General features: G+C 36.8%; 1 protein-coding gene across 5 annotated transcripts in view; it reads left to right on the top strand.

The window, feature by feature from the left end:
* EIF2AK3 (eukaryotic translation initiation factor 2 alpha kinase 3) overlaps positions 1-12,990 on the top strand; it is a 71,405-nt gene that overhangs the window by 36,638 nt on the left and 21,777 nt on the right. For 4 of the 5 annotated variants that reach the window (XM_047446428.1, NM_004836.7, NM_001313915.2 and 1 more), the window contains 7 exons: positions 456-690; positions 903-1,065; positions 2,607-2,747; positions 3,404-3,526; positions 5,447-5,667; positions 7,966-8,078; positions 11,868-11,990. In XM_047446428.1, coding sequence (XP_047302384.1) covers positions 456-690; positions 903-1,065; positions 2,607-2,747; positions 3,404-3,526; positions 5,447-5,667; positions 7,966-8,078; positions 11,868-11,990 — 1,119 coding nt within the window. Of the gene's footprint in view, positions 1-455; positions 691-902; positions 1,066-2,606; positions 2,748-3,403; positions 3,527-5,446; positions 5,668-7,965; positions 8,079-8,683; positions 8,754-11,867; positions 11,991-12,990 lie in introns of those variants that run through there. The other variant, XM_047446430.1, reaches the window with a different exon arrangement.

Below are 12,990 nucleotides of genomic sequence, written 5' to 3'. Positions count from 1 at the left end.
GACTGGTGCATTCATCTTGACTTTTACACTGGTTTGTTAGGGCATATTAATTTTGCTGCACTTAATGAAATGTATCCTGCCTTTAATTAAGAGGTAAGGCAGACTGTGTGCTACCTCATTTTAAGGTGACATTGATGTGTTTGGGGAAAATCACTCTGATGTAGAAGTACAAACATTTGTAAGTTTTTGAGAGAAAATCTGTCCCTTAGCTGTTGTAAGGGACACATCAAGTCAGTCCACAACCCTCAAAACCATTGTGTCTGAAGGGTCAGGACAAAGTTCTTGTGGGCCCTCTTGTGGCATAAATCAGTAGAGCACTCTTTTCCAGAAGGTTATGTTGTTAGTTTTCTCATCACATAATTTTAGTATTTGCTTCTTCAATCTAGAAGAGTTCTATATTATTTTGTCCCTTTCTTTAAATGTAAATTTCTAAAACACACCTTTGTAAATTTAAGGTGGAATTTCAGTGTTGGCCACTTTGAACTTCGGTATATTCCAGACATGGAAACGAGAGCCGGATTTATTGAAAGCACCTTTAAGCCCAATGAGAACACAGAAGAGTCTAAAATTATTTCAGATGTGGAAGAACAGGAAGCTGCCATAATGGACATAGTGATAAAGGTTTCGGTTGCTGACTGGAAAGTTATGGCATTCAGTAAGAAGGGAGGACATCTGGAATGGGAGTACCAGGTACCTAACACCACTGAGGATTTAAAATACGGTTCTTCCTCTCCCAGTCTGACCAAACTTATTGATTGGGTGGAACGAAATTACTACTACTTGGGGCTCTCAGCTTGTTCTCTGTGCTTTTATAAATTTGTGATTTTAAATGGTATTTTATGGGTTGGAACTATATAACTACTGCTTGAATTATTTAAGACCTTTTTTCCATTTTTGTTTAGTTTTGTACTCCAATTGCATCTGCCTGGTTACTTAAGGATGGGAAAGTCATTCCCATCAGTCTTTTTGATGATACAAGTTATACATCTAATGATGATGTTTTAGAAGATGAAGAAGACATTGTAGAAGCTGCCAGAGGAGCCACAGAAAACAGTGTTTACTTGGGTGAGTAAATGTATCTTATCTAACGATAGTACACATTGACATCTAGATTTTCTTCTTACATTGTTCCTTCCTACTTCAGGAGTGCCTGTAGTAGTTTTAAATCCTAATATCATCTCTGATGTACGTTGCCCTTGAGATTTATACTTCGATTTCCATTCCTGCTACTTTTCCATTTGTCCAATTCTGAAAATTTTTTTGTTGTTGTTGGAGATGGAGTTTCACTCTTGTCGCCCAGGCTAGAGTGTGATGGCATGATCTCTGCTCACTGCAACCTCCGCCTCCTGGGTTCAAGCGATTCTCCTGCCTCAGCCTCCTAAGTAGCTGGGATTACTGGCACCTGCCACCATGCCCAGCTAATTTTTGTATTTTTAGTAGAGATGGGATTTCACCACATTGGCCAGAATATAGTGCACCTGACCTCAGGTGATCCACCCACCTCGGCCTCCCAAAGTGCTGGGATTACAGGCATGAGCCACCACGCCCAGCCCAATTCTGAAATTTTTAATTACTGTCGCATATTCTTTTTCTCTGAGGTCTATATTAGAAAGGCTTAGAAATATTCTCATTATATAACATGATTTCAAATTACTCATTAGCCAAGAATGGTGGCACGCACCTGTAATCCTAGCTACTCCAGAGGCTGAGATGGGAGGATCGCTTGACCCCAGGAGTTAGAGCCTACCCCAAACTATAATCATGTCACTGCACTCCTGCCTGGGTGACAGGACAACACTCTGTCTGTTTATATATATATAATTATTTATAAGTAATTACATATATGTATTACATATATAATTATTTATATGTAATTACATATAAAATATATAGTTAGGTATATATCCTCAAAGTCTATAATTTTCTGTATTTGTATTTGCATCCATATTAGTTTGTGACCCTCCCCTCTTTAAGATTAGATTTCTTTCTTTTTTATCAGTGCATCTGTACAACTGATCTAAAAAATAAAACTCTGGTGTGCTTCTGGGCAATTGAAAGCCTTTAATATTATAAATTTTGAAAACTCTTGGATCTAATTTGAACTAGTCTGCATCATCAAATACTCATAAAATTCTATAAGCTCTGACAATGTGCCATCCACCTGTTGGTTTGAATGAAAAGCAAGAATTTGAAGGAATAACATGTCATTTGTGTTATGATAGTATTTAACTGAATTGTTAGCAATATTTCTAGAATTATAGGTGTTTAGGTAAACTTTCTTGAGAAAGTTACTTAGTGTAAGCTATTTGTTTTGTGAGAGTACAGTGACTTATCTTTGAATTTTTCTACTGGAACAATTTTCCTGTATTACTGAAAATGTGCTATTATTCAGTGAGAAATATCATATGGACCTTTTGTGTAACTTTCCCTCCCTGTTTTTGTTGAATAAACATTGAGTTTATCTTTGAGTGCTTCAAGCATGTTTCTTCTTTGACAAGAGTTTTGTGGTGTATGTAGAAATAACTGGAATTAATGTAATTTTATTTAATTAAAAAAACCTTTTTAAAAAAATCAATGCATAATTGACAATGTTCTGGTTGATTCAGGAATGTATAGAGGCCAGCTGTATCTGCAGTCATCAGTCAGAATTTCAGAAAAGTTTCCTTCAAGTCCCAAGGCTTTGGAATCTGTCACTAATGAAAACGCAATTATTCCTTTACCAACAATCAAATGGAAACCCTTAATTCGTAAGTGAATTGTAAACTTTTCTAAATACTGTTAGTGTTCAGAGACCTAATCCTGACTGTCTTTGCCCTAGTTTTGAATACTGCAGAGATAAGAACTGTTATATACTTTATATTTTATTGATAAACCATGATGGTATTTCAGATGTTAATAATGAATTTTTATTTTCATTTAGAGCATCATTTCTTGGAAGCAGCAGTTGCTTCTAAAAAATGTTAATCAAATATTTCTCTATACAACTTAGAAAAACTCTTAATCATTCCCTGACCATGCCAAAGTAACATTTAGCGCTTAACATACTTATATTAAGACTGTTTAGGCAAAAGTTATCTGGTTAGCACATCATATTCTTTGAGACTGAACGAATAGAAATCAAATACTGTGCACCTACTTCTTTCATTATCTTTCTAAACCTTGTACGTGTTTTTTACTACATATGTCATGTCATATTTTAATTGTTTGTTTAAACAACTCAGATTCTCTGTAAAACTGTGCTTTTCAAAGGCAAGAGCTCTGGGCCATTTGTTTAACTTATATGTTTGAATTGAATTATGGTTGAATATCAGTTTATTCAATTAAGCACGTGCATTTTTATTCAAGTCATAACAGTTCAGACTTAAGAAATATTATTATTAAGAAAATAATAATTTTCTTTTAGATTCTCCTTCCAGAACTCCTGTCTTGGTAGGATCTGATGAATTTGACAAATGTCTCAGTAATGATAAGTTTTCTCATGAAGAATATAGTAATGGTGCACTTTCAATCTTGCAGTATCCATATGGTAAGTGAAAATACTGAGTTTTATTTATTTTATTTTTTAATTTGAAATTAATAGAATTCAAATGAAGAAAAGTCGATTAGAGTATAGACAATAAAACATCTTGGGAGACAATTTCATGAATGATTACTAAGCATACAAGCTCCAAAGTTAGGTTGCCAGGGTTCAGATCCCATTTTTGCCACATGCTAGGTTGGGCACATCTAACTCCCCTGTGTCTCAATTTCTTTATCTGTAAAATTAGAATAATAATCCTAATATCTATGTATTGAGTTGTTGTGAGGCCTAAATGAGATAACGCAGGCAAAGTCTCAGTTAACATCATACGTGGCACATAGTGTCAGTAAACATTGGTTCTCGTTATTAGCTCTTATTTATCAGACTATATTATGTAGGCTGTATAGTTGCCTGTATAATGAAGAAAATGTGTTTTTCATAAAACTACATGAAAATGATGCACAATGAGGTTATCTTCTTACTCAGACAAGAGAAATTAGTGCAAAAGTCAAGAATAGGTGAGATTTGGCATGAAATACATTTTCTATTTAGTAAGCAGCAGTTTTTTGAAGTTAGGATATATTCAGATATGAAAGCCTTTTAAACAGTTGTGTAATTAAGAAGTCCTCAAATCTGTATCAGGTAAACACGTAGACGACTCATCAGTTACCCTAGATGTTAGCACTGGAAAGTTATTATATAAATTAAATTGATTAAAAAAAAATGGCTCTGAACTAGAAACAGCAGCCTTTATCTTTTTTTTTTTTTTTTTTTTTTTTTTTTGAGATGGAGTTTCGCTCTGTCACCCAGGCTGGAGTGCAGTGGCACAATCTCGGCTCACTACAACCTCCACCTCCTGGGTTCAAGCGATTCTTCTGCCTCAGCCTCCCGAGTAGCTGGGACTACAGATGCACGCCACCACGCCCAGCTAATTTTTGTATTTTTAGTAGAGACGGGGTTTCACCATATTGGCCAGGCTGTTCTCGAACTCCTGACCTTGTGATCCACCTGCCTCGGCCTCCCAAAGTGTCTGGATTACAGGCGTGAGCCACTGTGCCCGGCTCCTTTATCTTGATATTGATCAAAAGACAAGTTAGGCTGGGAGTGGTGGCTCATGCCTGTAATCCCAGCACTTTGGGAGGCTGAGGCGGGTGGATCACTTGAGGTCAGGAGTTCAAGACCAGCCTGGCCAACATGGTGAAACCCCATCTTTACTAAAAATACAAAAATTAGCCAGGCATTGTGGTACACATGTGTAGTCCCAGCTGCTCAGGAGGCTGAGGCAGGAGGATCACCTGAGTCCAGGAGACAGAGGTTGCAGTGAGGCAAGATCACTGCACTCCAGCCTGGGCAACAGAGCAAGACCCTGTCTCAAAAAAAAAAAAAAAAAAAGGCAAGATAAAAGAGAACTGTGTAGTCTGACCACGTAGTACAAAATAGAAGACAAAAAAAGACAAGCTATTTTTCTGGGACAAACTCATTTTGACAGCCTAAACTGAACCAAACAGCATGGATGTTTTCCTTTCATTTTGTGAAGAATGATTGGTGGTAAAATTTGGTATTTTATTGATAACTAAACAAAAAGAAAGCTAAAAATACCCTGAAGGAAGATTGAGTATTAATTCTTATATTTAAAGAATTGAATTATTAATGAGGTTATGAATGGAGTAGCCCTTAAGATTTTTTTCTAGTCTTATTACTTAATATAAAGAAAATTTAATATGCTTATAGGATAAAGGAAAATGTCTATATTTACGGGAGAAAAATGAGACAAATTAAGATGTTTAAAATACGTTAAAGAAGAGAGACAAAACTTAAAAGGAATTAATGTGATAAGTCACAGGAAAATGGATAAATTTTAATAGTTAAAGACGGGCCTATTTTTGATTACCTTTAAAAAAAACGTTTTAATGTTTCTATTTGAAGATAATGGTTATTATCTACCATACTACAAGAGGGAGAGGAACAAACGAAGCACACAGATTACAGTCAGATTCCTCGACAACCCACATTACAACAAGAATATCCGCAAAAAGGATCCTGTTCTTCTTTTACACTGGTGGAAAGAAATAGTTGCAACGATTTTGTTTTGTATCATAGCAACAACGTTTATTGTGCGCAGGCTTTTCCATCCTCATCCTCACAGGGTAAGAATCATGGTTGCTTACTGTCTGGTTTCCACTTCCCCACCTCCTATTTGCTTCTCAACCCATCACAGTCTGGCTTCCATCCCTACTGCTCCACCAAAGCTACTCTTGCCAAAGTTCTCAGTGATCTTCCTTGTGTTAAATGTAATGGACATTTTTCAGTCCTTATCTAACTGAACCTCTTTGTATTTGACACTGTTGAACATCTCCCTTTGACCTTTCTTGCCTGACTTCCTTGACACCATGCTCTCCTGGTCTCCTTGGGTGTGATGTGGATGCTTCAGGACCTGATCTTTCTCATCCTCTCAGTATTGTTGGTATTCCTCAGCACTCCCTCTTTTCACTGTTCATCCCACAAACTCTCCTTAGATGGTCTTCCCTACTTTCCCAGCTCCAATCTTCTTATATACTAATGGTTCCCAAATCTGTTTCTCTGGAACAGCTATCTAGTAAGTGCTACACAGGCACTTCAAATGAGCCATATCTCAGACTGTCCTCATTTCCCCTCCCATTCCCCTCCCCTCCCCAGCCTGTTCTAGCATTTTTCTCTCTCAAAGAAACGTACTGCCGTATGCAGTCACGAAAGCCATGAAATCATTTTGCTCTCCCTTATCAGTCACCAAGTTCTGTCGAATCCTTCCTCCTAGATATCTTCACATTTTTCTTCTTCTCTATGTGTCAGTTTTCATTTCCACAGCACAAATACCATCATCACACCTCTCCTGAATCACTGAAATAACTTCTAACTGGCCTCTGTGCCCCTAGTCCTCAGGCTATCTCCAGTCCATTCTCCACACCCTAACTCTAGCTGCATTTCTGGGCTTAAAAACCTCTAATACCTGACCCTCCTCCCCATTGTTAGGCTCAAGTCCAACCTTCTTAAAACATGCAAGGTTCTGAATGATTCGTACCCTGCCTGCACGTGACCCATCCTTCACTGGTACCCTAATCCCTTCCTCCCCTCCACCGTGCTCAGCCACTAGGCTGAGCTGCTTTCAGTCCTTCCTGTAGACCGTGCTCTCGCTTAGCCTGGTGGTGCTCATCCCTCTAACCTCGCCTTGGAACCTTGTTCCTTACCTCCTCTCCCTTCCCTCTCAAATAATTAACTCCTGGGTAATATCTTTTAGTTTGAAATTAGTTGCCACGTCCCCTGGGAAGTCTTCTTTAACCTCTTATTTCTGAGTTAGATTTCCTGCCTATGTCTACACTCTGTACTCCTCTTACTAGAGTATTTACTAAAATATTTAATAGGTAATTCCTAATTTCTCTCTCTACCTCTAGACTGTACATTCTTTTTTTTTTTTTTTTTTTTTCAGAGACAGGGTCTCACTCATCTCACTCTGTCACCCAAGCTGGAATGCAGTGGCACCATCTCAGCTCACTGCAACCTCCGCCTCCTGGGTTCAAGCAATTCTTGTTCTTCAGCCTCCCGAGTAGCTGGGACTATTGGCATATACCACCACACCCAGCTAATTTTTGTATTTTTTGTAGAGATGGGGTTTCATTATGTTGGTCAGGCTGGTCTGGAACTCCTGGCCTCAAGTGATCTGCCCACCTCAGCTTTCCAAAGTGTTGGGATTACAGGCATGAGCCACCACGCCTGGCCTAGACTGTACATTCTTAAGGACAAGAACCAGTCTACACTGTTTACCACCATCTCCTCAGCCCCTTACACAGTGCTTGGCACATAATTGGAGCTCAGTAAAGATTTGTTGAAAGAATCAGTGACTAAACAGGTGACCCACAGTGCCCCAATTTGACCATGATAATTATTAACATCCTCTAAAACATCTTTTAGGAGATGTTGGTAAAGAGGCATTGCCTGATTTAATTTCCTGTTCTTAAAAGCATTTTAATGCAATCTATGAAACTGGTTAGGAAGGAAATCTCTCTAGTCTTTTTGTTGTTGTTGTTATTGTTACTGGGTTTTTTGTTTGTTTGCTTTTTTTCCCTACCTTATTTTGTCAAAAGAAATCACTCTAGTCTTGCCCAGGAGTTTGTGTTTATGCTTACATGTGTGCATTGTCTTTCTATCTAGTTATGTATCATGCTGTACATATGACATACCCACATTATAAAGAAACAAAATCCCCTCAAAGACTGGAGGGATAGCAGTGGGAAGATAAACTTTTTTTCTTTTATAATAAAGCAAAATGCTGCACTTTGTTTTCATAATGCTTTTATTTTTCTTGATGCTACTTATGTATTTTTCAGTGTTGTTTATTTTATAACCTAAAATTGTTAGCTAACTTCAGTTCAGCTTTGTACTGGTAGTGATTTTGTTTTTCACCTTATCAGCAAAGGAAGGAGTCTGAAACTCAGTGTCAAACTGAAAATAAATATGATTCTGTAAGTGGTGAAGCCAATGACAGTAGCTGGAATGACATAAAAAACTCTGGATATATATCACGGTAAGAGTCTTATAAAATACAACCATCTGAATCAAAGAAGAAATGACCTAAGATCTTGTTTAACTTTTTTTTTAATGTGTGGATATCTAGAAAAATAAAACATAGGCTTAACCCTCAATAAATAAATAAATTCAGGTAACTTAAATGTATTAAAAGTGGTATATACCCTAAGAAAGATAAAAATAGAGTGTTATAGGAATTTAGAATTTCAGCTACCAAATTAAGTTCTTATTCAAGTAACTTAGTTATTTAGGGTCTACTATGTACTAGGATTAGCATTTATAGTACCAGATAATAATTAGGTTTATAAGAGTGTGATATGAGTCTCCACGTTTCGGAATCCTCATTTATTTTCATTATTGTTCTATCTGTAATAGGAAGTAGAAATATAGGGAAAAAAACACTAATAGAACAGATAGTTTTTAAAAGCAGAAGGGGGAGATGGATTAGCTAAAAGTAGGCAGTTTAAATAAAAGTAAAGAAGCTATTAGCAATCTCTCAAGTATAAAATGTCACCTTTGATGCATTGTGATAACTGGAAATGGTGTTATGGTTTATTTTTCATATTACATGGATTATACCTATTTTTCTCTTTGTCTTGATAGCATACTTCTTATCACTTTAGTGATATGGGGACAAGGAAAAGACGTGGAACTATACTGCTTAATATCTAGGGTAATGATTTTATGGCAGAAAAGATTGAAAATAATAGATAAATATGTATATTGGGGCCCTCCAAGGAAACAGAAATGACAAGATGTGCATATATATCTTATACATAGGCATATATCTTTATATATATACTTCTATATAGATATAGATGCACAAGCATATTCACAACAAATTAAGGAAATACTTGTGACAATTACAGTTCTCATTTTTGATACCTGTCATGTGGTCACAGCTGGTAGTTATAAGTACCTTCCTCCTCTATCCATCCCATATTCCCTTTCCCATTGGAGAACAACACCTCAGCCGGTTGTAATTCTATATCTGGTAGGGTGACCCAAATCCACAGTCCTGAAGGGTCTGGGAGATTGGTAGTTCTGCCTGGATTGGATTGTTGTAGTTTTCCATTGACCTTAATCACAAGGCATGATTATACAAAGAGATCCCTAAGGGATCTCATGTATTTCAGACCTACTCTTTCTTACACCTCCACTGTGAAACAGCAATCCAATTTCCCCTTAGTAGTCAGGATTAGTCATCCAGCCAGCACAGTAGCTGTCTTCTTTGTTGATTGGAAGGCATGAGGAGTTCAAAGTTGCTGTTGTATCTCCTGGTGGAAGTGTTCCTCTCCCTTAGACAAAGACCTCTAGGCCTGCCGAACATAAGGTCACAGGAACAGGAAGCAAAAATGTTGCCAGTGGATCACTAGGTGGTAATGGTGGGTGATGCCACTCGCATTTCCATCCCTTGATCCCTGGACCTGTAAATACTGGCTATGGGAGAAACCATGCTATAATATATTAGACACTGATTCAGAGCATATCCAGCTTTCTGGAGAACCCTGGCCCAGCCCTGCAAGGTACCTACCTGGCAGTGTAATGGAGTCTTAAAAGGCCATTCTACCTTTCTGTCAAACCAGCTGCTTCAGGATGGTGGGGAACAGGTAAAAACAGTCAATTTCATAAACAAAGCAAAATTTACTAGGTGATTAACAAATGCTAAAGGCTACTTTAATACCTTTGCTAATAAAAATACTAATATATCAGTGACTGTCAACACCAGCAGGCAGTGAGAGAAAGAATAAAGGATCCAACAACTCCCATGAGGTAGTCTACTACTGAAGTTATTCACTGTTCATTAAACATTTATTCGGAACAGCTGTGTGCAGGACAATATTTCAGGCTTTGGGAGAAATAAAAAGACTGCTCCTATCCTGGAGAAGCTTAAAGTCTATGGGAAAGATACTACTGGGTAAAACAAGCATGTAAGAAGAAAGCCATGAACCAAATCACTAAATCTGTTTGTGATGATCTAGGAGGACATCATAAATGAAGTCATATTTGAACTGAATTTTAAATTGTGAGAGTTCGGCAAGTAGAGATGAGGTTTGGGGAGTAGAATAAATGCGGTATCATGAATAAAGATGTATTTGTCAGGCTTTTGTCAAGAAAATTAGAAAAATATACTCAAAATTGAATTAGACTTAAGTCAGTTTAACTTTATTCAATATGAAGAATGCAGCTCTTGGGTCTTTTTTTTTTTTTTTTAATATGGGAGTTCTATAATAATACCTAATGTTTTTTAGTGGCGACAATGTCCTAGGCACTGTTAAGAACATGAACTCTGCATTCAGTCATGAGTTCAAATCTCAGCTCTGTTATTTATCAGCTGACAACTTAGGCAAGATGATACTTACATTTCTAGGGTCTGTAATCACATATAAGATGTTACTCTTTTTAGAAGATAATCCGTTTTTATATAGGTGTTTTCCTTAATATGGGAAGATAATTCAGCTGGCCCTCCAGGAGTAGGATATGAAGTTTGTGGGCTTTTGCATTTGGGGAGACTGATTTGTACTGAGGTACCTTGACTGGCTATTTTTAGGAATACAGATTATTACTCTTCATTTTCTATGAAAGGAATTGGCCCATGGAACGTTGAAATCTATTGCTTCTCCTTAACTCCATGCTTTAACCAGCTGAGGCAACTACTAAATAAATGAGTATGTAAGTCATAATGTAAGTCTTAAAGTAAATAATGAGTATGTAAGTCATAAACTTACCCTTATAAGGGATATCAGACATCATCTAATTTATTCATTAATTCATGCATTTATTCAACAGACATTTGTTAGACTTTCGGTTTGTCAGGTAGTGCCCACCCATTGGAAATACAAAGAGAAACAAGAATGATTTTCTGCATTCATGGCCCCCAAAATACAGTGGCGGTGGGAGAAGGGAGCTGCTTACACATAATTGCAAAAAATTAAGATTAAGTTTAAATACTTCAAAGTATTATGTGCAGAGTGTTATGGGAATGTCAAGACAGGGGTCTAAGAAAGCCTTACAGAGGTGAGGAGATGAGCAGAATGAAAGAAGAATAGGGTTCATTAAATGCAAAGAGGAAGGCCATCCCAGTGGAGCAGACAGCAGAAGCAAAACCTTGAATTGTGAGACAGCATGGTGCAAATTGACTGGATGATACAGTGCAGGTCAGTGAAGTCAGCACTAAAGGGAGAAACAGGCTGCTTAGTGGAGGCCCCTGTGAGTGACAGATGGTGAGTTGGCTTCTGTTTGACTTGGTACCTCCAGTGGTAGGTACACTGACTCGTGGGGCAACCCAACCCATGTCAGCTTTGGTTCCTAGGAAGGTTTATGGCTAAAATAGTACCTGGGTATAATAGGACTGATTAAAATTTTCCCATAAAATTGACAGGTAATTAGCTAAGATAAAAACACATTTTCTGTAATTGATTACAAAATGTCACAGAATGTAAAAGATATGAGGATTAGGAATATGATATTTTGGTAGATGATAGGAAGTATTGGACAGCACACATCACTAGTGCAGCAGTTGTAAGAAAAAGTGATTAACAAGTGATTCCCAATTAAACATGTCTTTTTTATTTTTAATTTTTTTCTAGGAAACATAAGAATGTGTTTGCTTCATTTATACAAACAGGACTAAAAATGCTGTTAATCAAATTCAAAATATACTATTTATTAAGATGAGTTCTATGAGTTTATACATTTTTATGTGTCATAAGATTGAACTGATTTTCACATTACCACAAAATTTAAAACTGTTGCAAACCTTTATAAATTTTATCTCTTTTTAAAGATATCTAACTGATTTTGAGCCAATTCAATGCCTGGGACGTGGTGGCTTTGGAGTTGTTTTTGAAGCTAAAAACAAAGTAGATGACTGCAATTATGCTATCAAGAGGATCCGTCTCCCCAATAGGTAATGGGTGGTACCTTCAGTAAACTTGAAATCAGCACAGTGTGATCTAATCTCATGGGTAAAATATCCTTCTTACTGTACTCTGTAAACACCATAGAAAACAGTTTCAGACGTTTCAAATCTTAGGTTCTAAGTGCTGCCAATTAACCAGCTGTCTAAAAGTTGTTATCTCTATAGGTTGCTTTCTATCTACTTTTAAAATATGCCCTTGTTTTTTATTATTAACTCAGGACTTTCGTTTAGTGGCTTATAATAACTGTAGACCAGTAAATTGCAGCATTTTAAAACATTCTATATTTTTGTATAAATAAGGAAAAGTACTAGAACAAAAACATTTGAATTATATTGTCTCTACCTGGTAATAACTATTAACACTTTAGAGTATTTCCTTTTGATTTTGTTTTCTGGTCATATATTTACCTAACTGGTAGCCAGTTGCCAGTACTGTACAGTTTTGTCTGTTGCTTTCTTCATCATATCCTCTATATTTTTCATGTTATTAAGAATATGTTATTAGAATCCTAAAATATATTAAAAGTATTTTATGGCTTGGTAATAGTCCATTTAATACACGTGCCATATTTTGTTTAACCATTTCTTATTGTTAAACAATTTGGTTTCTAATTTGTTAGAATTAGAAATAACTTTACCATAAAAAAAACCTTTGCAGTATTCATCTTTTTATGTACCTTTTGACAATATCTATTTCCTTAGGATAGATTCCTAGAAGTGTGATTTCTGGCTCAGAACAGTGTGATGCTTAAGATGATAGGGTTCCAGCAATACCTTTTATTCTAACTATGTAGAAGGCCCTTGTTGCTTTTTTTTTTTTTTTTGAGACAGGGTCTTGCACCGTCACCCAGGCTGGAGTGCAATGGCACAATCTCGGCTCTCTGCAACCTTTGCCTCCCTGGTTCAAGTGATTCTCATGCCTCAGCCTCCCGAGTAGCTGGGATTACAGACACCCACCACCACACCCAGCTAATTTTGTATTTTTAGT

The sequence above is a fragment of the Homo sapiens genome, chromosome 2 (genome assembly GCF_000001405.40).
Source record: "Homo sapiens chromosome 2, GRCh38.p14 Primary Assembly".
NCBI lineage: Eukaryota > Metazoa > Chordata > Mammalia > Primates > Hominidae > Homo > Homo sapiens.
Note: the sequence above shows the minus strand (reverse complement) of the source record. Positions and strands in the feature narration are given on the sequence as shown.